This window comes from Homo sapiens, chromosome 15 (genome assembly GCF_000001405.40).
Source record: "Homo sapiens chromosome 15, GRCh38.p14 Primary Assembly".
NCBI lineage: Eukaryota > Metazoa > Chordata > Mammalia > Primates > Hominidae > Homo > Homo sapiens.
The window spans coordinates 33,628,653-33,654,855 of record NC_000015.10 but is presented as its reverse complement, the minus strand read 5'-3'; the positions used below and the strand labels follow the sequence as shown (position 1 = coordinate 33,654,855).

Here is a 26,203-nt window from a genome sequence, read left to right as displayed (position 1 = left end):
CCTGAGGCTGATTTAAGAATCAGGGGTTTTATCCATGTACATCATAGCAGGATGTTTTTAATTTGCTATAGTTAGGTAAACTGGTGACCCTGAAAAACTGTTGGATGCCCTAAGTACGGCATGCCACTCTCCTGCTCAGAAACCTTCAATGGCTCCCCATTTCCTATCTATATCTCCCTAGCTTTCCAAACAAATTTCTTACCAATAACCATAAGAGCCCTATGCGATGTTGTCCACAGATCCCCAAACACACTTTCTGCTTCCCTATCTCCATGATACTTCTTGAGCTATGTATTCAACACTCTTCTCCTTCTACCCATGAAAATTCATTCTTTTTTTTTTTTTAAGACAGGGTCTTACTCAGTCACTCAGAGTAGGGTACAGTGGAACAATCATGGCTCACTGCAGCCTTGACCTCCCCGGACTCAAGTGAGTCTCTTAGCCTCCTGAGCAGCTGGGACCACAAGTGTATGCCACCACACCCAGCTAATTTTTCTATTTTTTGTAAAGCTGAGGGTCCACCATGTTGCCCAGGCTGGTCTCGAACTCCTGAGCTCAAATGATCTGTCTGCCTCGGCCTCCCCAAGATACTGGAACTACAGGTGTGAGCCTCCATGCCTGGCCCGTAAAAACGCTTTTTCCTTAAAAAAATAAATAAATCAAGATTTCTCCTTAATGAACATTCTCCTGACTGCTTGTGATGGAGTGAGCTCTTCCTTTTTTGAACTCGTACAGCGTTCTCTGTCTACAAATACTTGTGACTCTCCATTCTACCTTGGAGAGTCGAGAATGTTTAACGTAGACATTAACCTCCCATCTCCCATAGTTTGCTCTGTGGAACTCTAGGTTCATAGAACATTATTGATTCTTAAAATTAAAAAAAGTGCTTTTCTTTGTCAAATAATTTGAGAACTGCTTGGTTACATAGGTTTCTTTCTGAAGTATTTCTCAAATATTTCAGTGTGCTAATAACCTTCATTATAAAACTTCAAGAGGTGGATGTGATATGTGGCAGTTTCCCAACCTTACCTGGCCATCAAGGATGAAGAGATCAGGCTGCTTGTGGTTAATGACAGGTAAACCTACATGTGTATAACAGGTGGTTTTCCTGAGTAGCTCTATGGAAGTTCACGGTCCAGGAAATGAGGAAACACATTGTTTATATAAATGTATTTTTTTTTTTTTTGAGATGGAGTCTTGCTTTGTTGCCCAGGCTGGGGTGCAGTGGTGTGATCTCAGCTCACTGCAACCTCTGCCTCCCAGGTTCAAGCGATTCTCCTGCCCCAGCCTCCTGAGTAGCTGGGACTATAGGCGCGGGCCACCACGCTCGGCTAATTTTTTGCATTTTTAATAGAGACAGGTTTCACTATGCTAGCCAGGATGGTCTCAATCTCCTGACCTCATGATCCCCCCGCCTCGGCCTCCCAAAGTGCTGGGATTACAGGCATGAGCCACTGCGCCTGGCCTATAAATGTATTTTTAAAGCATCTTATGAGGTAGTCATAGGGAATGTGGATAACCTTTTTGCAAAAGGGATATTTCCTGGCAAATTAATCCTTTTTATAGGTTTCTATTTTGAGTACAGAAGTTTCTTAAAGTGAGAAGTATTTTTGTTCACCTTTACATCTTGTATCTTGTATAGTGCAGGTAATAGATAAGGCTGCACAAGAAATATTTATGAAATAAATGAATAACATTTACAGCTCAACACCAAGGAAAGGACTTTTCGTCCTCTAGAAAGACAACCAGCATATTGGATCAACCAATAACTATGATTGCCCAGCCTTTTTTTCTCTGCATACAATGAAGTAACTTTGTTGTTGTTTATTTGTTGTCCTAAGTGGCCCATGGCCCACATGGGCTCATCAGCTTGACACACTGTGGCAGGAATGCTGAGTACGGAGAACAAGGAACACAGTGATAAACACCAGGCCTGGGATAGCCCTGTTTCGGCCCCAGAAGCCGCCCTTACCTGGTAGCAGGTGCCCAGTTCCTTTCCATTGGCTGAGAAGGACAACATGCCCATGGCCAGATCCACGAGACAGCCGATCTCCAGGTCCACGTTGCTCCGATTTGATCTCTGGGAACTGGCTACAATGTCTCCACCCCAGACCATGTAGCAGTTGCTGCGTTTCACACTAGGAGCCAAGACAGGAAAAGGCACAGAATCTGGACTGGGGCAGTTTGTAATCAAGACTCAGGAATGAAATGAAAAATGAAAATGGCTACAGAAACTTTCCTAGGAAGCTTTCTGTTCAGCCCCAAATACTTTTTTTTCCTTAAATGAGTTTATTTAGCTTCAATCCAATTTACTCAGACACAAACCACTCAGAGTAAGGATGTGGCAATCTATTCAGGCTACCTCCTTCCAAAAAGCACAATGTTCAGAGAACTGTTTCCAGACTCAATGTCAACACACCTTTGTGAAACAGATCATGGGAACGGCAGTATCCCACCAAAGAGACGGGAAATTGAGGCACGGAGTGAATGACCACCTTCGGCAAACTTATATGGGGATTTGGAATAAGAGGCAGAAAAAAAGTCTGGGTTCAGAGTCCCAGTCTGGTAACCAGGGCAAAAGGCTGTAAAACACTTGAAAACTCGGGCCCACATTCCTTAGGATGGCCGGCCTGGGCTCCCTACAAAGTAGTTTTTCTCTGACACCTTGCTGCTACCTTGACTTATGAGCCCCTGTCCTTCCCCATGCCTTGGAGTTCTGCCTCCCGCACTACTGGCTAACCATCAGCTTAGGTGCCTTGCTTAGCTTTCTGTCTACCAAACCCCAGAATACAAAACTCCATGACAGGTATTTACACTTAAAAGCAAACTATAATAATGAAAAAGTCCTTAAGGCTCCCAAAGCCTGATTCCCCAATTGTAGGATTTCACATCCCAGGTGAGCTGTGGAGATGTGCAGTGGCAGAGGTGATTCTCAGAGCCCCCCACCGTGGGCAAGAGATGGCCGATTCTTTCTTCTTCTAAGCCCACACTGGTGTACGTCAGCTCAGGCACCTGGTCCCTTGAAGTGACATGACATGACTTTTCTCAAGTTAAATAAAAGGGTGATGCTATACCTGATGCAAGAGCAGCCCCTTTAAACATCTTAGGGTCAGTCTGATGTGACTCAGCTTGGCTTCCTGTTGTGGTCCTCAGCATGGAGGGCAAGGCCACATAGGGGCAGGGATAGTACATTTGGCACTGTGGGGTGGGTAGATGCTGGAATAGATCCTGTAAACTCTGAGAGTTGCTTCACCTCTCAGGATGATGTTCTCATTTGAAAAACCAAAGGTTCAATTAGGATTCTCCGAGGTTCCTTCTGCCTCTAGAAGTCTATCACTTTCCCCCTTTGTAAGCATGCATTAATCTCCTGTCCTCTCCTTTGGGACAATGATGGGTCTGCTCGCTTCCTGTGAATGCCCTCAGGCAGGGGCCAGTGCAAATAGCCTCTTTCAAAGAGTTATAGCATTATTAGAGTTCTATAACTGCAGCCATGTTAGTACTACTTTTTAGTGATTAAGGTGCTAACCATACTGATGACTAATACAGAATACAATTAATAATGTATTAAAGCTGTGGGAATGTGAAGTGGCTCGCTTTGGTCATACATTAAAGGGCCCAAATTCAAAATGTCCTAAAGCATCTGTAAACGGATTTTGTATTTATTTCTTATTACATAGGACAAAGAAGTAAGAATTATTGAATGTGTACCATATAGTATGTCTTATCCTAGGTGCTAAAATGTCAGTTAATGTTCACAGTAAGTATGGCCACTGAGGCTCAGATAAATGAAGTAATCAATCTTGTATGGTAGAGCCAGCAAACTGGAATTATAAACTCAAATGAGGTGGACACTTCTGCCTTTTCTTCTGGCTGAAGAACAAAGCCTGGATTGGTCAATTACTTTAGAATACTTTCCTTTCCAATCTAAACCAGATGTTGCTTATAGCATCTATTTTGGCTCTCTCAATGATGGACATTCAATAATGGGAATAATAATTATACAGCTGACCCTTGAAAAACATGGGTTTGAATTGCATAGGTCCATTATATGTGGGTCCACTTATAGGTGAATTTTTTTCAACCACACATAGATTGAAAATACAGTGTTCACAGAGTGCAAAACTCACGTATAGGGAAGGCTGACATTTCCTATACCAGGGTTCAGTGCTGACTGAGGTCATTGAGTATGAGCGGATTTTGGTATAGGTGGAAGATGTTGGGGCCAATCTAGCTCATATACCAAGGGATGACTGTAGCTGATATTTACTGAGTGCCTGAGTTGAGGCACTGTCCTAAAAATTTTTCTATGAATTAACTTATTTAATCTTCACAATACTCTGTGATAGAAACTATTATCCTCATCTTTAGATAAGGAAATCGAGGCCCAGGGAGGTTAAGTGACGGGTCCAATGTCATACCCCTAAGAACCCAGGCAGTTTATTCTAAAGCCAGCACTTATTTTTTTATTTTTATTTTTTTTGAGACAGAGACTTGCTCTGTTGCCAGGATGGAGTGCAGTGGCGCCATCTCGGCTCACTGCAACATTCACCTTCTGGGTTCAAGCGATTCTCCTGCCTCAGCCTCCCGAGTAGCTGGGATTACAGGCACACGCCACCACGCCCAGCTAATTTTTGTATTTTTAGTAGAGACGGGGTTTCACCATGTTGGCCAGGATGGTCTCAATCTCTTGAACTCGTCATCCGCCCGCCTTGGCCTCCCAAAGTGCTGTGATTACAAGCGTGAGCCACCGTGCCCAGCCTAAGCCAGCACTCTTAACCAGCTGCAGGTCCCTCGTGACACAGTGACTGTGACTCACCTCTGGCTACTAGTCTTTGGTGAGCCAACATTCTCTAAAGGACACTGATTGCAAAACGTTCCTGTCTTCGTAGGGAGCAAAGGCCAGCTTGAAAAACAACTTATGACATCGCTACATATGGCTGTATAGGGAAAAGATGCTCCTGTACCTCACGTAGGTGGGGAACAGATGGAAACCACAAGCCATGGTCTCTTCAGTCACCTCTGGAGCACATCTGGCCAACAATCCCTTCTCTGGCAGCAGTGCCAGCAGACCAGTGGGAGGGTATGGGTATGCCTAGAACGCGCTTGCCCTAAAGTTTCCTAATTTCTATTTGGTGGTTATTATTCATGAAGTTTCAATGTCTCTTTTATTCCTTATGCTTTCAACCATTATAAACTCTTGGGAGGAGGAGTTCTGAGTATATCAGTTAGTGTGTGATGTGGTATATCTTTTTATTTCTTCTGAATCAACTTCTCTCAAGCACCCAGAGATTTTCTCTGTCTTGTTCTGATGTTGTAGAAACTGGGACTTGCCCAGAAGTCCTGGAAAAAAACTCTGAGAGAGATCACGTACCCCATTCTCTGTCTATATTTTCCATCTCTGGGTCACGATTTATACACATGATGAAACTCTTCTCTATTTTCACTAGCACTTTTTCTCACTGTCATAGTACCGGTTTGTTTCTTTGAAGTCTGTGCTTCATTTTCTCCTTTTAAGAGAGGCCAAGATGTTTCCTTCTTTGGGTGTGGGGTGGAAGAAAAAGACTGGGGGGAGGGACTGAGAAGCCCGATGGCTAACCCTGCCACTTGGGAGCCCCCTTACCTTTCATGGACCCGGCCTCTTTCATCCCCTAGGGTGACAGTCACTGTGCAGTTTTTATTCAGGTCAAACTTTTCACTGTACAAGTGATAGTCTGGAGTCACCCATCCGACCCAGACACAGGATGGATCCTGTCCAGCAAAGATGCGGATGGCGTAGTAGCACTGCTGTGGAGAGACCGCAGAGGGGAGTCAATGGCCCCCAGCCCCCATCCAGTTGAAGATAGGGGGCCCAAGAGGCAGAAATAACACAGCAGCTCACTTGGCCCCCCCTTTTTTTTCTGGAAAAGTGCACACTAGTAGAGGTAGGCTAGATGCTAGATCTGGAAGGAAGGCTGAATAGGGATTCTGGCTTCCTAATTTTTCCTTTCTATTTTGCTGTAGCATCTGGCAAAGCAAATGCTTAAGCTAATCTACCACCCTTTGCCCAGAAGACACTGGTGCTGAAATCAGGAGATGCTGTGGATGGAAGCAGTGGCAGCTGCTCAGAATGGCAGCACAGAGCCCTAACCCTCTCCTGGGCACCAGGGCAGATCTGAGCTGCAGGAGAGAGCGGGCACAGTCCCTGCCCTCAGAGAAAGAGTGGTCAAGGGTCAGAGCATCCCCGTTACACTTTCTCCTTCTAAAGGGAAGTCTAGTGCTTTTTTCTGGAAAGTCTTGAAAGAGGTTGCTCAAGAAAAAGTTCATCTCATGGCCAAATGTGCTCTGTGTAGCTGTCACACTCAACTACAGTCAGTATTGAGAAGTACAGCAGTTTTTGGCAGGGCTCATACAATCCATGGGGTTATCACTATATTACAACAATAGCTACAGCTCTGAGGCAGGTGACTAGCTCATCATTTTCCTTATGAAACTGAGCAGATTCATTCTTAATTAAGTGGCTCTTATTTGTAGTCTGTCAAATTTTCTTGACTGGAAGAAAAAAGGGTCGGCTAGACAAACCTGGGCTTGAATCTTGACACTGCCAGGTATTCATCATGTGACTTTGGACAAATCATTTGTCCTCTCTGTGCATAATATTGTGCATAATATTATCCATTTCAGGGCTTGCTGATTAATTTTAAATGGAGATTAAATGGGAAGGCAACAATGTGCCGAGCACAGTGTCCCCCACAGACTAAGTGAGTGATTTACTGCAGCAAGAATCTTGTTCCTGATGAGAGTTAACCTACAAATTCAGGATTGTTGGATAACTTTACAGAAGGGTTGACACACATGTCTTCCACAGGCTTTTTTTTTTTTTTTTTTTTTGCCAGATGCTAAAGAAGAATGAGAGATAGAAAGAAAAATCAGGAGTTGCTTTCTGACTACTGTCTAGGGACCAAAAGTAGCTTCCATCTTCTGCGATGGCTTCTTGCTCTTCTTCTCATTTGATTGCTTTTAACATCACTCCTAGCACTGCACAGAGACATGGGGCAGCTGACTCACAAAAGTTTACACAAAAAAGGCAAACCAAAAGATTTAATTGAGCGCCCTCCAACTGATGCTCATTTCAATCAGAAAGGCAGTGTTGGATCCCTGATGGCAAATGGGCAACAAGTATCCAATGATGCCCAGTTAGGAGCTCCAGGTAGAGCTTTTGCTTTGCACTGAATAACTGTCTTTCCCCCACTTGAGAAATGCCACAGATGTGTTCTGGAAGCATCAAGATGGATATTAAAAGACAGAGTAATTGGCAATTAAAGAGGATCTCTAGACGGATCTTTGCTGTAAGGGGCATATTACCAGGCACAACAAAGAATCAAATAATTAAAACCATAATTGAGCACATTTACTTACTGTTGTTGTATGAGAGAGTATTTCTTGCATCTGTTTCCTGGGGGAAAGATAATCCATGTTTTAGTTATTCAGCTGTATTGAGAATCCCACAGTTCCGACAGGCAACTTGATCTACCTTCAATGATCAAGTCAAGTTTAGGAAACTGGCTACTCCCTAAACACAAGTGATTGCAACCAGTCTTGGGACTTATTCATTTGCAAGCTGTTAACACAAGGCAGGGATGTGACTCCCAACTCTTATCCCTCAGCCCAGATGGTAAGTTAGATGGTAAGTTGAGAGTGAGGACGGAAGACCGCAATAATATAAGTAGGGATACCTCTGAATAGGTTATCCTATTCTCACAAGTAGCTGTGCTTGTTTAAAAGCTTGGTAGAAAGCAAAACTCTAGAGGAAACCCCAACAAGACGGCTCCAGGCAGCAGACATACATCAATGATTAAAAATAGACATCAGGGGAAAGAAAGACAGCAAGGGATATGTTACTGATCAGGAAGAAAGAAGTCACATTGCCCATGAATCACACAGCTGCAGAGTTGGACAATGCCCATAGCTATGCAAAGAAGGCAGTATCTGCCTCCAGAAACTTCTAATTGCACACAAAAGCAAAAATAATTGCACCCTCTTATGCACTCACAAAACACAGGAATTGTGGGCAGCAAGGAAGGTAGGGGCTCAGAGTTCAAGAAGAGCAGAAACTTTTCCACCAGATGTGTCTGTTTAGCATGATTGGTGCCTTAATTATGCACTGCACAAACACACACGTGTACTTGCATGTACATGCGTGCACATACATTCTCATTTTCTTTTTTACCTGACTGAAAGCAGAGAGAACCCTATCAGTGGAGTTCCTATGCTGAGTTAGGGTAAAAAGCAGAAAGCCCACTTTACAGGAGATACAATGAGTGCCTCTGAGAACTGGAGGCCTCACCCTCACCTTTTCTGGAAAGCTTCACTGTCCAGACAGGGGCTGTGGCTGAAGGAGGAGTGGCACTCGACAGGCATGCTCAAGCGGCAATAGATCATGTCGGCATTGCTATTCTGTGTGCCAAATGTCTTATGCGTCACCTTGAGACACGGAGGGCTGTCCATGGTGCCATCAATCCTCATGACCTGGAAACAGGACGAGTCCTTACCTTGACATACCAAAGGGCCTGACCTTGACCCAGTCCCTTTTTCCCTCGTGGACATGCACATGGCAAGGCATTCTGTGAACTACAGAAGTAAGTTGTGTCCAGTGATAACCAAACTATGATTCTCATCATTACTTGGGCCTTGTCCCGTAGGAAGAAACAGATCTGCTCCTGGCTAGGGAAATTAGAGATTTAAAAACATGCTCACTGGGTTCTCTGTAAGGCCAAGGGTGGAGAATAAATGCCAGAGGGGGGTGGCATCTGGGAGACACAGCATAGTGTTCACAGAGGCTAACCTTTTAGGTCAGGGGGCAAGTGGCTAAAGAAGATAATCTTTCCAAGGACTATGCTTGTCACTGGGCATGAAAACATCTAAGGGAAGGGGAAAAAGTAATCCCAAAGCTCAGGAAGGATGTCCAGCTCCTGAGGAGGACACCCTCCCCACCCAGCCCAGCTCTCATCTCTGCCACAGTCATGGCCTGAAGGCTGAGGCTCCTGGAGCCTCCTCCTAATACTAGGAAATCAGCAGTTCCTAGGCACAAGCATTGCAGGGGGCAGAGTTAGGGGAGAAAAGGTCAGAAATTGATTTTTGCAATTTGTGTGTGGAGAGGGAAATGGGGGGATACAAGGGAAGTGAACTGAGGCTTACAATAATAATTTTCTTATAATCTGAGCCTCTTCTTTGCTCTCTATAGAACTGTTCTTGTCCTGGGTCCTATAAGAATACTTCAATTCTATTTTTCTAAGTAGAGGGCCTCTAGGGGTTCATGACCTCCAACAGTTTAAGAGTCACTTTTCTAAAGTAACGGTTAGGGAGGAATCAGAGAGAGAAAAGTCTCTACTATTTAACTGAGGAAGAAAGTGGGGCATTAAGGTTGATGCTTGCTGAATTCAGATGGGAGGATGAGTTAAGGAACTTACAGTGAGGTTGAAGCAAACCACTGAATCTAACTTGACTAAAGCTGCAATGGGGCTGATTTGTCTGGCATTTTTTTTAAATCAACACTCTCCCCCTATCCACCATGGAAAAACCATAGTCTGTGAACCAAAACAGAGGCAAGTCTTAGTCCATGTAGGGCCAGAACTAAAGTTAGGCTCCTTACAATCTTTGGCTCCTCTCTGCTCCCCTTAGAAGATGGGGATAGATTAATCAATGATCAGACGTCAGCTTAAAATCCTGGCAACACCATCAAAAAATTGAATAGGTCCTACAAGACATCAAGTCATGAGTGGGTAACAACATACATGTTCAGTATATATAATCTTGAATATAGGTATGGAACTTTTAAATTTTTTTTTAATAAAAAAAATTGTTTCAAGAGACGAGGTCTCTCTCTGTCACCCAGGCTACAGTGCAGTGATGTGATCATAGCTCACTGCAGCCTCGAACTCCCGAGCTCAAGGGATCCTCCCACCTCAGCCTCCCAAGTAGCTGGGATTACACGTGTGAGCCACCACACCCAGCCCGAACTTAAAAAAAGAAAAAAAAACAGAAAAGTTTAAGGTCTCCGAATACTATATTACTATGACAACACAGTATAGGAACATCCAGAGCAAATTCAGTGGCCCAAAATGTTGAGAGTTGATCTGTAAGGTTTTATGTGCAAGGCTGATGCCTCTCGTAAGATGCCACTGAGCTGTCCCAATTAAGATGCCTGCAACTGCAGCTCTGAGGGCCAGAGGGGAGGTGGCTGGTAAGTGGCCAGGGCATAGACTTAGGTAAGCAGCTGCCTGTTGACAGGAGACTTAGGGCAAGCTTAGGGCCTTGGCCCACCTGACCTGCCAGGGCCACACACATTGTGTAACATTACCTCTATGTGTGGATGATCCTTTGGCACGTTGACAAACGTCGGGAGGCGCTTGCTGAACCACATAGCAACATCTCTGTTCATGTTGACAGCAAAAGGCTCAAAGCCCTCTTGGAGACCGCACATGGTATAAAACTTGAAGGTACTGGCATCTGTCCCGAGATTCATGCGGCCGATCTGAGATAGACCCAGACAGCAGATGGGCACGAAGCCTGCAGAAGAGTTAGAGAGACCTGCTTTAGCCCGAAGGCACCATCCCAGGAAACTCCGAGGCAGCTGAATCTTTGCTTCCTTAAGGGCTTTGACTCCCAGTAGGAAAGATGTGACACAACCCGTTCTTTCTTTCTTTCTTCCTGGCACATAAAATCAACAACAGGAGGCCACATGGAGACCACCACTGCCCATGGTACATAGGAAAGATAAGAGAGCTTGGTTCAAAATGACTTGGGAAAAACGATGATCCAGTTAAGAATATTCGTAAGATATAAATAAATATCAACTGGAAAGGCAAAACCAGTAAGAGAAAAAGTGAAATTCTTTATCTGTCCCTTAGTTAAAATTGATCTCAGGCCCTGGGAAAATTTAACTACTACCCAAAACAATGCAGTGAGCCTAAAGAATGACTTGGTGAGATTTTCTGCCACAAAAACAAAAAGATGGGTAACTATGTGAGATGATGAATATGTTATCTTGCTGCACTGTAGCAGCCTTTTTACTATCTCTATGTATTTCATAACATCACGTTGTATACCTTAAATATACAAAATAAAATTTATTTAAAATAAAAAAAGGATGACTTGGTGCAAGTTGCCCGACTTTTCTGGACCCAGCATCTTCCCCAGTGACATGAGAGGTCCTTCACGTTTCGAGAGTAGGATTCTAAGAAGTTTTAAATGCTAGCACTATGATTGTGCTTGTTAACAAAATACAATTTACAAACACCCAGTTTCCTAGCCCACTCTCCTCCTCGCCTACTCAGGAAGGCAGAGTTTCAAGCAGGAGCCAGAGAAAGCTCCTCTCTTCCTTCCTACAGCTATCATCTCTCCAAACTCACATCTGTAGCTTGATCGTATTAAAAAACTACCACTCAAAACAGACCAAAGCAGAAGTTCAAATTGTTTGGTGTTCTTGTTTGTGGGCTATTTATAAATCATAATTGTGGACCAACAAATCAGCAACACAGGGAAAGCGCTAATTATGTTGGATTTGGGAGGATGTGAGAGGCAGGCAGGTGGCTGGAGGACCGCTGGAGGCTGCAGAGAGCGCCTGGAAGGGTAGGAGAAGTTCTGAGGCTGCTGGATGAGGCAGGGGCTGGAGTTCCCTACAGAAGAAAGTGGTGTCACTCCCTAGGATAAGAGTGGTCATTTCGGGGGACATTTAAAAGCCAATTTTGGGAGCATTTACATCTAACAGTAAAAACTTTCTTTCACAGACACCAAGGCCAAGATGCACTCTTCCTAGATGGGAGGCTTATATACTATTATCTAAGCCACGAAATTTCTATGTAAATAACAAGTTACATAAGTGAAACGTAAATCTCTTGCAAGCTATGTGGTTGCTTTTAGAAACTATAAACTCACTTAGGATACAGACGTGTTTAATACCGTGTCTAAATGAAAGAGAATGTCAATGCAGTCCTAGCAAAATGGCAGTGATGTTTGTAGAAAAAGCCTCCTCACAGCACTGCCAACTGAGGACAGACTAGGACCCCTACCTCTCAGGACAGTCAACGGACTGGTCCCTTGGACAAGCACCTGTGCATGTAACATCCTGAGCACTACTATGCTTCTGTATTTTTGTGATAGGGGCTGCGATGGATGAAACCATCTCCTTTCTATAGACAGAGATGTTTATAAATAAAGAACCTTTGGAAATCTGATTACAGTGTAGAATAAGAATTGCTTGCCAGTAAAATTCCTAGGCTCCGCATTGGGAAAGACAGTTTTGCTATGTGCCATGACAAGATGTGAAGGAAGAAGAAAGTATCCCAATCCCAAGGAGCTTACAGAAATGGGGACAAGGAATGGAATATAAAAGAGGGAATGTGTTTGCTGCAAATCATACCTAATCTCAAGACAGTATTTTAGTTATTCTACTAAGGGAGGTAACTAGACCAAGAAAACCACCAGTATAGGTTTATCTTGGAGCCATGAACATGAAGATCATGAAATAGTCCAGCCTTGATGTGAGCACAGAGTAGGACAGCTTAAGAAAACCTCTCTATTCCATTCTCCATGAACCTGGATGGTGCAATAAGCGAGCAGCAGGGGTAAAAGCCTCAGTGGGAAGCAGCAACAATGAAGATTTGACCTCAGGACATAAAAATAATGTCCTAGTCACAGACCCAATGACAATGTAAGGGGGAAAAGGTAATAACTGCATAAGACTTCTTTTTTTCTAAGGATGTTGAGCTCCTCTTCATTCCTAAGCACCAGTAGAGAGGACAGCACTTTAATAAGGCTAAAACTAAGAACATGAGGAGTTAATGGACTTGACCACAGTCACGGGAAGGGCAAGTGACAAAAATGGGATGAGATCCTTTATCCTCGAGTCATAGGCCAGCTGCCAGTCAGTGTGTGAGAGGGAGTGAGTCTTCAGGGGATGAATGCCCCAGATTTAAACAGTAATTATGACCAGGGCCAGAGGACTGCATTCACTAGAGAGTAAAGTGTTGTCCCTGTGGGGCAGAAGCCCTCTCTACAGGGAGAGTTGCACACTCCATGGGAAAAGACAGGGTAACAAAAGTCATGGATGCAAGAGCAATGGGAGGCACAGAGTATTGGGGACCTCCGGGAGGCTAAGTGGACGCAGCTGGGCCAGCTCTGGAAAACAGCAGCAGAACAGCTAAATCTAAGGCTTGAGTCAGAAAAGAGAAAATCTGAAAGGACAGAGAGGAAAGATTAATTCTCATTAAGCACCAGCGCTTTCTCTTGGAGAAAACGATTCGATAACTAGATACATTTAATCAGCTCCCTCCACCTGGCTAAGAGGATCTAGCTAGTATCTCCATTTCTAAAACTTCTTTATTTGAGGCATTTAAAAATCTTGTAACTTTATAACTCTTCATGAAAGACAGATAAGGGGGAACAACCATGGAATGATAAACCACAATAGCAAATATTTACCAAATACCTTGTAAATGTCAGGCTTAGTGCTCTACAGATACATCTCATTATTATGCCAATTTTACAGATGAGGAAACTGAGACCTAGAAAGTGGACTGGGGCTCAACATCTGCTACCTGGTAAACTGCAGAGTCAGCATGTGAACAAAGCTGCCTGAGCAGGAGTCCACAGCAAGCAACGGGGACTGAAGCCAGGATGCCTGCTTTCTAATTGTCGTCTAAGCTAACTTGTTTTGAGTTACATTGCTTTTCAAATGATTTTCCAACGTGTCAGGGAGTTCACCTGTTTGTCTCTAGATTAGACAGATGGAGACCCATAACCACAACACGCTCCAGGCCCCGTAGAGGAAAAGGGCTACCTGTACACAGCTCACCACATGGCTCTCTAGAATTCACCTGGATAAAAGGACCTACTGGGCAAGGTCATGTGGCATTACTATCTGTCATAAAGAAGGATTTCCATATTGCACACAGCTTAATGAACCCATAGCCTCAAATGAGATTGGAGAAGAAGAAAATATAATAAGAGGGCAAAGAATACCACCTCCCTACATGCATCCTAATAGATATAATTATGCTGACAACTCTGAAGAGGTTTGAGAAGAAAATTTGCAAAAGGCACAGTCTTCGGCCAAGATGTATACAGAAGTTCTTGTCCCAGGAAGGAAATGGCAAGAATATATGCATTTACATTTTGTACAGGACCCCCAGTTCTGATACACTTGGTATTATAAGGCCTCATACTGGTTTTCTGATTAGGAAGAGGGAGAGCAGGGGGGTAATCTTATAATTCCAGGAGATTGCAAAGAAGTCAGCTCTCTCAAAAATCCAAAGGACAGATCCACTTTCAATCCATTTTAAACTAAAGGAAGACATAAAAGAGAATAGCTACCAGCAAGGGAAAAGCTGACATCTTAGAGAGAGGGAGGTAGATGACCGCTCAGACCATTCCTGGGGTGTTTCTGGGAGTTTCAATCCAGCAGCACATGCTATACCCATTCCTTCCTATTTCCTGGTAAGCCTTTCAAAGACAGAGTTACAGGAGATGACAGGCAGATGGTCACAAGCCTTGTAGAAAACAAAGGAAACAACAGGCCACGCTCCCCTGCCACAGCCGCTTTCTGAAACACAAGACCCATCTGGAGAGAGAATGACAGGGGACCCTGGGTACCAGCGTGTGTGCCTGCAGATGGCAGTGACACTTCCTGCAGATAAGTTTCATTTTGTGCCTATTGAAAAGCTGCCAACAGAAATGAGGGATCTGTTAAACCCGACAGGTCAATGGGCAGGAACAGCCTGGCAGGCTGCTCCTGCAGACACCAAAGCTGTAGCAAGAGGCAGCATGTCCCTCAGGGGAGTGCCTGGCAGAGAGGCAGCACAGGAGACCACACCAAAGCCTCTTCCAGACGTCGCATTCTGAGGTCTAGCAGAATGTTCAGGATTTTATGTTCCTTTCCTTTAAACAGAGGAAAAGAGAAGGCTAATAGCAAAGGGTTTGCCTTGGAGGCTTCTGAGCTCTCAGATACTTCTAGGTGACAACACTGAGAGCTGTGATGGTCCAGTCTAGGGACCAGGGGAGGGAACATTAATTAGAAAATTCTAATGAAGCAGATAAAGGCATATAATCTATGATGCATAAGAGGATGGAAATGACAACTTGTAAGTAAGCCAGAGGTAAAAACAGCCATGAACTACAATATCTGTCCCCACTGCTTCCCCAAAAGGGCAAAAGGCTTCCCATGGCCCAGCTCCCACTGGGGTAATGACTGAAATCAAAGCTGACATGCTGGTGACCAGAAGAACACAAGCACGTCGGGCATTTTGCTTTACGGGGTGGGGGGAGGTAGGCGCTACAATGCATGAAATGTTTTATTTTCAACAGATGCTTTTCTTAACAACTCAAGGCAAGAATTGCTACCTCTTTCCACTTGACACAGAGAGAAGAGAGATGCTATGTGGTTATTCCAGGCCTTGGGGCTACTGTTATCAAAGAATGGCATGTCGACTTCCTTATAACTACCCTTCCACCAACTCACAAGGCATTGCGGAACTGAAAGAGCTTTCCAATTATCTTGTCTCTGTGTTATTAAAGGGCAATATGATACGACAGTATAATGTGCTAACACATTACAGTACAATTCTATTATTAAACAGCATCCTAATAATACTTTGTTATTCTGAAGGTCAAATCACATCCCTGTACACAACAGGCCTATGGGACATCACTTTCATTAAATACAGAGGCTCTCTCAAAGCCGGGTTATGCTCAAATGTCCCTCCCCTCTATAGTATTCCTCTGCTCAAACCCCATAATGGCCCCTCATTTCCTAGAGGGTAAAGTCCAAGGGTGCTTGGCTCAGAGAAGACAATAGTTTCTTGAACGAAAAGGCTGAGTCTCAGTATTTGAGCCTATAATCTGCACCTTATCTACCTTTCCAGCTTCATCATCCATACATTCCACACACAAATCTTCTACCCTTTCCTATAGCTTCCTGGAGCCACAGAACTACTCTTGTTACATCCCCTGTCAGGACTAGCCTTCTCCTTACACATAGACATCTTGTATTCTGTAGTTAACATGCAATTCAAATCCCATTCATATAGACTTTTCATTCTGTATTAGTCACTTGTCATTGATAACTTACTGCTCTGCATTATTATCGTCTTTTTTTACAACTAAAAAATGAGCTCCTTAATACTGCTACTACTCACATTTGCATATGCTTTAGACCACTGCTCTCATACTTCAGTGTGCATGCAAATCACCAGTGTCTCGTCAGAATGCAGATTCTGATTCTGGTCTGGGGTGGGGCTGAGATTCCTCATTGCTAACAAGCAGACCATACTTTGAGTATTAAGGCTTTGGACTTTACAAAGTTCTTGTAACTCTGCACAACATATGAGATTCTCATCTCCTCCTCAGAGTTCAACAGACAAGTAACCTCTTCCAGTTCACACAATAGCAGGGCCTGGAAAAGGCCCTGATTTTTGGACTCTTTCTACCCCAGAGAATGACTTTCTTTGGAGATGTGCCTGAATCTCCTAGGCTGTTTTCCTCCTGGCCTCAGAGGGAGGGGACTGCATGAGGTGGGTGCTTGGAAAGCACCTGGTTGTCCTTGTACACTGCCCTGATGTCCACCCACAGAAATCCTCTCCTTTGCCTCTGAACCAGCACACAGGCCATTCCTTCTTCTGGCAACATCATTCTCACCTGTCTGCAAAAACAGAGTTATTTCTTTAAAATTTTGATTTTAAACCTCTTTGGAAGGCATTAAAATATGACTCCATTTGACTTTAGTCATTTGTCTTTTTAGGAAAATACAACGGACTTGTAAGCTTTATATTTCTCCAAATATTTGGCTCTTAGAAAAACCTTGAAAGGATGAGAACACATGAACACAGGAAGGGGAACATCACACACCGGGGCCTGTTGTGGGATGGGGGGAGCGGGGAGGGATAGCATTAGGAGATATAGCTAATGTTAAATGATGAGTTAATGGGTGCAGCACACCAACATGGCACATGTATACATATGTAACAAACCTGCACGTTGTGCACATGTACCCTAAAACTTAAAGTATAATAATAAAAAAAAAGAAACACCTTGAAAGGTACAGTTGAATATGCATACTTTAAACAATAGGTGTCTGAAAAAAAAGTGCAAAAGTCATTTATAAAGCTAAAAACGCTCTGTAAAGAGCATGTATATTACATACACACAGTTTCATGTATTTGTGCTCTCTTGCCTATGCAGTTGTATTGTTTTAGCTTTCTAGGTAGGAAATGTTTCTTTCTGTAAAGTCTCAGAAATGTAGGGCTACAAGGAGCCCTCATCATCTACAGACATAAAAATGAGTTCCTAAATGGATAAATAAAGTCAACTAAGATGTCCTGGGTAGGCAGAAGCAGAGGCAGGTGAGCGTCCAGGTCTCCTGATCCAGCACAGCCCCCTTCTCGTCCGTGAGGAGGAAACAGTGCGGCAAAGCACCAGGCATAAGGGCATTCACACAGCAGGTGTTAAGTCACTGCCGTTGAATTTTATATCTGGGAAGAACATTAGATTTTATTTCATCAATGCTTTTATTCTCTGATATAGATGAAGAAAGTAAAGCTCAGAGAGGTCAAACAGATACTCCTTGGGAGCCAATGAGCTTGTTAGGAGAAGTCTACTGACTTGCAGTACACTCTTTCCCCTATATACCAACAGTCTTGTGTACATAATGTAGTTATATAGACAAGAAATAATAAGCTCCACTTCCTCCTTTGTGTAGCTGGAAGCGTGCCCCTGACTGTGGTCTATTCATGGACATTAAAAAATGCAACTCTGGTTGGGTTTCACAGTGTGTCTGAATTTCAAAATAAATTGTATTTCATTCAAGGAAATAGCTAAATCTAACTTTTGTGTTTCAATCATTCTCTTCAAAGCATCAAGTTCAATTACACAAACATGCAGACTGACAATTCAAATCAGAATAAAAGGATAATTCTTTAATTCACTGATTTTTCTCTCCTGTCAATGACATTAGTCATATACAATAAGTGTTTTCTTTGTAATACTGGGAAACCTGGAGAATCTTAAAATGCCAAGACACAGGGGAGGGAATTAGCTTCTTGGTTAACCTATCTGAGAGTTCAGAATGTGTATGTATGCTGCACACACCAACTATCACTATTATCTCCCCTAATTCTTTGAAATTGCTAGTCTATGGGATCGTCTTCACCATTAGGGTTTTCAAATATGCAAAGGACAGTGTAGACCGAATAAGGAAGTAGAGCAGGTCGCTCAGCTCTCCCTATATTTTCCTCCAGCCTCATGGAGCTGGGGTTGGCAGAGGGTGTTAGATTTACCATTCTCAATCTCGTAGTCAGCGAAGGCAAGTTCAGAGCCTTTGTTGGTGATCAGCAGCTCCCCATTCAGTGTGAAGATCATTGAAGCATCATCCAGGTTAATCATACATCCGACCACATCCCCTGGCTGCCAGGTACGCCCAAAATACCCACTTCCTTGATGCCAACGCTGGCCCTAGAAAACAAGACTCTAGGGCTTAGAGAAATGGAGTCTCTAGAGGCCCCAGCAGCTGGAGAAATGACCATATCTTCGATATCTCCTAACTAGTAGTGGTTACATGATTTCTAGGGGACACTCAAGGATAACCAACAAGGAGGAGTGGTCTATGTTATAAATGAAACCAAGACACACAAGGTAGCCCAAGTCTCTTGATTTCTAGTCACAGCTATGGCAATAATCAGGATTCTCTCTAGGGAAAACTGGTAAGATTTCCTGACATACTAGCTGCATAGTGATCTTTATGTCACCTCTGGAGTGGAGTCAATGGGCTTGGGTGCAAAAGTAGATATGAAGGTGATTGTAGAAAGGATTTGGGGTACAGTGCTCCCCTTCAACAGAGTGAAGAGCAAAGAAACAGTCACTAGGAGATGCCCATTCAATGTCTACATTAGCCAGTGGTGGTGGTCACTCACTTTGAAGCCAGAGATCCAGTAATTTGAGCTTCCAGAAAAATGTTTGGAGAAGGAAAACTTGGTCTGAGGATGGGTGTTTGCTAGATATATAAACTCACCCTGTTGCCTTCAAACACAAAGGCTTGGTCATCGGCCCCCAGCTCGACATCAGGTCGACAGCCTGGCCTCGCCCAGCCGACTCGCATGTCTCCTCCAGTCACCACTTCAAACTCAAAATACCACTTTCCAGATCTCACTGCATAAGATCGCTCTACCCGGAAAAATCGGATCTTGTCTATGCTGACCTTCTCCACAGCCGAGTCAGCTATTGTGAGAAGAAAGGCGAACAGAGGGTGTGGAAGGGAAAGAGAGAACGTAGACCTTCAATAATTAGGTAGCACTACTCAAAAGAATTTGATGAGAACATCTAAGACTGACCATAGGTCGACTACTATCCAATATGGCATTCTGTTCATGATGATCGTCATCATCATCACCATACAAGCTACCACTGACTGAGGGATTGCTTCATAGTAGATCCTTTAGAGACCACTTCTCAGTTTTCCCTCACAATAATCCTATGAGGTAGCTAATATTGTCCTCATTTTACTGATGAAGAAATTCAGGCTCAAAGAGGTAAAATCATTTATTCAACATCACAGAGCCCATGAACAGAGGAGCAAAGGTATAAACCCAGATTGGACTTCAAAACCATCCCCTTAATGACTTACAATTCTGCCCCTGTGGCCTACTGTGCCTCCTGGGGCATGGGATGACAATAACAGGCTCATCAATTTTAAGCTGTTGTTCAGATTTTAATCTGAACAAGCTTTTAATTTGGAGATGTGATTACCTGATCTAAAAGTAAGCTGATATTCACACATTTGGCAAGTAAGATAAAAAAACAGTGACTTGGTTTTTGATCAGGTATTCTGAAAAGCTCAGCTACCCTAGAAGATAACCTATTCGTTGTGGGAATAAGTCATAGAAGTGTTCATTGCAGAAAATCTGTCAATGGGATGATGGTTTATATCAAACATGGTCTCCCCGATAACAATAAAAAAAATCACACCATTTAGTCTAGTGCTCTTCAGCCCCAATACTATTTCCAATAGTACAAGTTAGACCTATTTGAAGTTAGGATGCCCCAAGAAGAGGACCTGTTTAGTAAACTGGGGCCAGAATAAACACTCTCAACTCATTACCTAGTTCTTGGTCTGATGGCTCAATGTTATACCCGTAACCAACAAAAGTGCGCACAGCTTCCCGCAGGCTGTCCCTGTTTGACTTCTTGGTACGCTCATCCAGTAATGCATATGGCACCAGACGGGGATTTCTTTTGTTCTTCAAATCCTATGTGACGCCAGAGAAAAAAGGTGCCAAGAAAACATTTCACCTTCACCACAGCTCACCCTATTCACATATTCCCAGCAACAGTCCTGGCTTTCTGGTCGCTCTAGGTCTATTAGCCCTTCCCTCAGTGCCTTCACATTTAGCAATGTACATATTGCCACTTCTCCTCCAGATTAAATGAGTATAAATGGAAACATTTTACTAATGCTCAAAGCTAGCATTAAAAAACACTTTTGGCCGGGTGTGGTGGCTCATGCCTGTAATCCCAGCACTTTGGGAGGCCGAGGTGGGTGGATCACTTGAGGTCAGGAGTTTGAGACCAGTCTGCCAACATGGTGAAACCGCATCTCTATGAAAAATACAAAAATTAGCTCGATGTGGTGGCACATGCCTGTAATCCCAGCTACTCGGGAGGCTGAGGCAGGAGAATCACTTGAACCCGGGAGATGAAGGTTGCAGTGAGCTGAGGTCATGCCACTGCACTCCAGCCTGGGCGACAGAGAGAGAGTCTGTCTCATTAAAAAAACAAAACAAAACAAAAAACACTTTAAATAACACCAGTCTGTGAATAAAATGAAGCATCACAGAATTGGTTAGAAACCTCCATTCCCAAGGCAAAGCAGCTGGAGATTTGTATAATGATTTCCCTATGGAAGATCATGTCATGATTTAAGTTGCTATAGCCTCCTCATGACAGCTTAACAGCCTTCATGGAGAAACATCGGAAAAGGTGGCAGAGCCACAGTGTGTTCATTTCATGGCAGAGGACACACATTTGTAGTAATGTCCCTCTCGGTTCCTTAGGAGGGACTAAGAAGACAATAGGGACAATTGTAGTGATAAGTCACCCAAACTCATATGTATAACATGCTGTTTTGAACCTCTTTACTCCGCTGCTCCTCCTCCCCCCATAGTTTGCACAGTTGTGTTCTTCCTGGCTTCCAGATGTGTGGCTCCGGTATGAATTAACTAATGTGCACATAGCCACTCCTGAACGTCCCTGATACTAACCCTACCATTGGTGATTACTAAGATGAGAGAAACCATCTCAAGGAAAGAGGTGTGCCAGGTGGTTTGGGACTAAACTCTTTCTAATTTCTAGCTGTGCTCTGGGTTTCAAGCTGCCTCCTGCTCAGGCCAAGACCTCTGCCCAGAAATCGTTGGCCCAATGGACTGAAGTAAGGAGGCAAAAGCTTTTGGGCAGGCTGGTTTGCTGCTGTGCTGGGCTAGCTTCCCCTCCATTTCATCCTCACCAGTAGATACGTGGGACTATCCCAGAAATACTGCTGAGCTATGAAGTGACTATTACAAATTCTGTCCAGCCCCATGATTCCATAAATAATGAACACACTGAGGTGTGAGGGATAGAGTGCAAAGGCAAACTCTTCCTTCTGATCTAACACACACCAAAGCAAAACGGCACGTGGATGATCATATCTTCTAAGTTTTCCAGCATGCCTGACCCAGAATTTCTTACCTGTTGGATGCCATAGGTCCATCCTTGTTTTATTCTGTCTTTTGCCCAAACATTGTGTGCATTTTCTGCAAGCTTATCCACTAAAATTTCTTGAGGAGGTAACAGCTTCACATCAGACAAATCCAAAGGGGCTGGCTTATAGCCGTTGGACATCATATAGCTACAAGTAAATGTAAAAGTATACATTTTTAACAGATCTCCATGAGTTTCTCATTCCGGATTTTAGACCAAGAGCACATGGTAAGAACGCTACGCAAATAAGGCTACAGTCACAGGTCCCACTCTTTGGCTGAACAAATAGCTCAGCTCTGTTTCAAGTCTATAGATGAAGCCCCCAATCTACCATCCTTCTTCCCAACATATGTAACGTATTTCAAAGAAGACTTGAAAAAAGCAGATGGTCAATACAAACCATCTTTATTTCTACTAAAACTACTTCTGTTCTCTAGAAATAATGGGCACGTTCAGCATGCTGCAACATTACCAGAAGCCTGTCATCCCACTACAAAAACACAAAAAGTCAAAACCAGATTGGCAAGAACAAGACCTTGAGTCAAATGTCTCCTTATAAATCAGCACAGAATAATCACTCAGTCAAAAAGTAAAGGCTAAACTTTTACTTTTGGAATTAAAAAAAGAATGATGTCAGAGTATTTTTGAACTTAAAGTGATCTTAGCAGTTAGCTGTCCAGTCCAAGAGTTACAGCCTCAAATGTCTGTAAGTTGACTGATAATGGGAAGAAGTGGAAGAGCTCTATGTAGACACATCGTGTAAATGCAGAAGACTAGGGCACACTGCGGAGTGAAACCTTAGGAAAGCAGATTGTCATGGCCATGTGGGAATATGAGTTTAAAGGTATCTATGGCCCTAGGGCCATTGACTGCCTAGGCCAGGGCCAGAATCCAACAGTGATGAACCACAGACCAGGGCTCAATCCATCCAGGACCTCTGAGCAACATGAGATGCAGGGTCTATTGTAGGTAGGTATAAGATAAAGTTCTGCATCCACCTTTTCAGGATGCTGCCCTTGGGCAGAGTCAGGATGCACTGACTGTTGTGTCCTGACCTCAGCAGCTCTGGCCAGCAGCCTGTTCCTCCACTGCAGCCTGTCAGATGTGCTTTTCTTGGTACTAGGAGTTGCGTGTGTGAGAGTGGATCTTGGAAGTTTAAGAGGAAAGAAGGGGGAAGATAAACGTTTGATTAAAGCTGGCACTGCTTGGCTCCTAAGTAATGATGACACCTGTGTGTGAATCCATCTGCATATCTGCTGGCATGCATGAGAGCAAACAAGCAAGGGGGCCAGTGGATGTGCCGCTGAGCAAGCATTTGAATGTGCAAGGACAAGAAATGTGCAACTGTGTCTGAATGTAGTGGGAGAGAGGCAGAGCAGGACACAGGCAGATATAGGAGGTCAAACGAATGGTGGCAGAGATACCCCTTCCACAAAGGACTTACAAGGCTGGTCCAATGCCAGAGGAGTGACTCTCTGTCATGGCTGGGAACCACTTTTCAGCTTTTGTGCTGAATGCTATTCTTATAGATCAAAGACAGTGCATCCATCTGACCTCCTGGCTCAAAACTAACAATATTAGTGTGAGGTCCAGGTGGAAGGGGCAAAGAGAGGGAAAACCCTGAAATACTTCTTCACCAGGCTTCTATCTGAGGGCTTCAGTGTCATCTAGGAAACAGGGGAGCCCTTCTGAGCTGGTGCTAGCAACTATGTGGGCTGTTGTCTGTCTTGGTACCACCCTCCTGGATTAAAAATCCAGGCTGAAGCATTAAAGTCTTGAACCATTAAAAAAAAAATCACCTACTTTTTGGGCAGTTTGACCTTCTTGAGATCCTCCTCAGCAGCTGGGTTAACATGAGCAATGTGGCACCCCAGGGCCAAGAGGGTTCTGTGACACAACAGAAGGAGAAGACTAAGGTTAACTGCAGTGTTAGGAACAGCAGGAACCCTAATTCACATCCGAGTTGAAAACAGACAAGAGCCATTCATTTAGCCCAGGGGTCAGTAGACTTTTTCTGTAAGGGGCCACAGAGTAAATGCCTTAGGCTTTGTGAGCCATATGTCTCTGTCACAGCTACAACTCTGTGATTACAGAGCAAAGCCAGCCATAGGCAATATGAAAACCAATGAGCTTGACTCTGTTACAATAACAATCTATTTACAAAAATAGGTAGCTGGTCTGATTGTCCCATGGGCCATAATTTGTCAACTCCCGATTTAGATGATAGCAAGCATAAGATTACAGAAGAGAAATTTGTTAATTGCCCCTCTTGGAGACATTTTTCTATTTTATAAATTTGCATTACAATTATATGCCTCTTCGAATTCCATGGAACAGATAGAATTCTAATATCCAGCCCACAGGTCAGCAAATATTTACTGCATGATGCCTGTAAGGGCATGAGCTGTGCTTAAAACCATGAAGTACAAAGCCATACCCTCAAGAGGTGCCAGTGTAATTGAAGGTATCCCATGTAAGCCTGTGGGACAAGGGACCTTACGGAGCATCGTTATGCCAACAAAACCACAAAGTTAAAATGTTCTGCAGTGACAACTAGAGAACAGGGAAATACAAAGACAAGAGAACAGGTAACAAGCCCCCAAAGAATTCAAAATGGGAGATAACAATTTAGGCTAGAGAAGTTAAAGTCTAAATTAGGCCCATGGGTAGCATCACGGAGAAGCGAAAATTATTTTAAAATTGAATTTTAGTGTATCAGATCAGGTTTCCCAACGGGTTTTAGAAATGCTTCATTTTTTTTCCTTTATTTAATGTGAACTGCAGGAGGTACTTGGTCCTTTGATTCTAAGTTTCTTTTCTGCCTCTTACTTTTTCCCTGCCCCTAGCAAATAGCAAATGGTTTAAGAAATATAGTCAATAATAATGGTGGATGGTTATGCTAAATCCTCTTGTGACATGATTCATCATCATCTCCTCTAATTTATCAGAATGTGCCACGTTTTCAGGCAAGAGACATATCTTTGCAGTTTAGTTATAATGCATTAAATCATCTATTCATTGTTTGTAAAACTTCAGCTCAATTAAATACTCACTTTAAGGTTTCAGTTGACATTTGCAGGTTATAGTTCTTCTCAGTTTCTGGGAGCTTTGAAAACTCCACAAGGCAAGGGTGTTGTCTTTTATTGTCATCTCGTATCTAGGTGGTGACATAAGAAAGAATGTGATTTAAGTTTTGACCAGCTGGCACTGCATGGGAAAACAGAACAGAACATACTTTGAAACATGGCCCAGGCAATCCATATCAGGCAAGAGAAAGACAGCAACTTGCTATTCGGCAAACAGATGATCTCTCTAGTCAATGAGACACACAGTCTCCAAGTTGCCAGTGGTTTGTGCTCCGTGGATTTATTTCTAGACAGGCATCTGCATTTTGAACATACTTTCCGAAAGAAGCAGTGCTACATGTGGCAGCCATGCTCTTGTTCCTCCAAAATTCATGTAACCATAACGTTTCTGAAGAGGAACATTCTTCAGCATAGGACAGGCTACAGAATCTGGACCAGTGTTGTGCAGTAGAACCAAAAGTCAGCCACAAACGTGAAGCACATTTGTAATTTCAAATTTTCTAGTAGCCACATTAGAAAATCAAAAAGAAAAGTTGAAATTAATGTGTTTTGTTTAACCTAATAAATGCAAAATAATCATTTTAACAAGTAATCAATATAAGAAATTATTTATGAGATATTTTACTTTTTCCCCCACACTAATCTTCAAAATCTGGTGACTATTTTACACTTTTAGTACATCTCAATCCAAACTAGTCACACTTCAAGTACATGTGACTCGGGGCTTTGTATTAGACAGTACACTTCTAGACATTAAGTAATTCATTCTTTCAACAAACATTTGTTGAATGCCTGTACTACACGACAGACCCTGAGCTAGATATTAGGAGTTCAATGGTGAAGCCATCCTCATGTGAAAATATTTTATGGTAGCTATATAAATACACAAGTGTGGGAGTGCAGAGACCCTGTCAGTAACTCAGCTAGAATGTGTGTCATTTGAGAGAGTTGGCGTTATAGGAAGCTTCAGAACTCACCTATCCTTCTGCCTTCAGACATGACCTTACACAAATCATGGAACACAGTCAATTTACATTCTCTCTGAAAAATGATTTCTAATGAAAGATTCCCTATCCTCCTCTGAGTGTCCATTAATCTTAGTGACACATCTGAAAACCATATTAAACAAGTTCTGATTCAAAACAATGAATCAGCCACTTTTCACTACCCATACAGAGATGACAACTTTTTTTCTGAAGGAGAGATGTGAGTATTCTGAAGCAAGTGCTGAGAAACAGTGCTATATCCCGAATAAAATAAACCAGTATTTGGGATTAAGAAAGGGGAGACACTTCTGGTTCTGTCTGTGAAGACCTGGTCTCCTCAGTGTTCCTAACTAGTGAATGCAATGAAAACTA

The 26,203-nt window shown here is 43.2% G+C and overlaps 1 protein-coding gene across 20 annotated transcripts in view, besides 1 other annotated feature; it reads right to left on the bottom strand.

The window, feature by feature from the left end:
- Positions 1 to 26,203, bottom strand: part of RYR3 (ryanodine receptor 3) — a 555,136-nt gene that overhangs the window by 211,247 nt on the left and 317,686 nt on the right. For 17 of the 20 annotated variants that reach the window (XR_001751370.2, XR_001751371.3, NM_001036.6 and 14 more), the window contains 11 exons: positions 24,813 to 24,916; positions 23,563 to 23,646; positions 21,748 to 21,907; positions 20,123 to 20,270; positions 19,037 to 19,242; positions 18,306 to 18,480; positions 10,337 to 10,545; positions 8,330 to 8,505; positions 7,396 to 7,432; positions 5,621 to 5,784; positions 1,973 to 2,138 (listed from right to left, as the gene is read on the bottom strand). Coding sequence is in view for 18 of the 20 variants with exons in the window: in NM_001036.6 (NP_001027.3) it covers positions 1,973 to 2,138; positions 5,621 to 5,784; positions 7,396 to 7,432; positions 8,330 to 8,505; positions 10,337 to 10,545; positions 18,306 to 18,480; positions 19,037 to 19,242; positions 20,123 to 20,270; positions 21,748 to 21,907; positions 23,563 to 23,646; positions 24,813 to 24,916 (1,629 nt within the window). In the remaining 2 variants the exon portion in view is untranslated. The remainder of the gene's footprint in view (positions 1 to 1,972; positions 2,139 to 5,620; positions 5,785 to 7,395; positions 7,433 to 8,329; positions 8,506 to 10,336; positions 10,546 to 18,305; positions 18,481 to 19,036; positions 19,243 to 20,122; positions 20,271 to 21,747; positions 21,908 to 23,562; positions 23,647 to 24,812; positions 24,917 to 26,203) is intronic. The other 3 variants (XM_017022471.2, XM_024450015.2, XM_024450016.2) reach the window with 1 other exon arrangement.
- Positions 22,740 to 22,959: a silencer, noted in NCBI's record as "fragment chr15:33924098-33924317 (GRCh37/hg19 assembly coordinates)". NCBI's record gives its function as "represses an EF-1alpha promoter that drives an FKBP-Casp9 reporter gene in an ReSE screen in K562 erythroleukemia cells {active_cell/tissue: K562}" and the evidence as "EXISTENCE:reporter gene assay evidence [ECO:0000049][PMID:32094911]".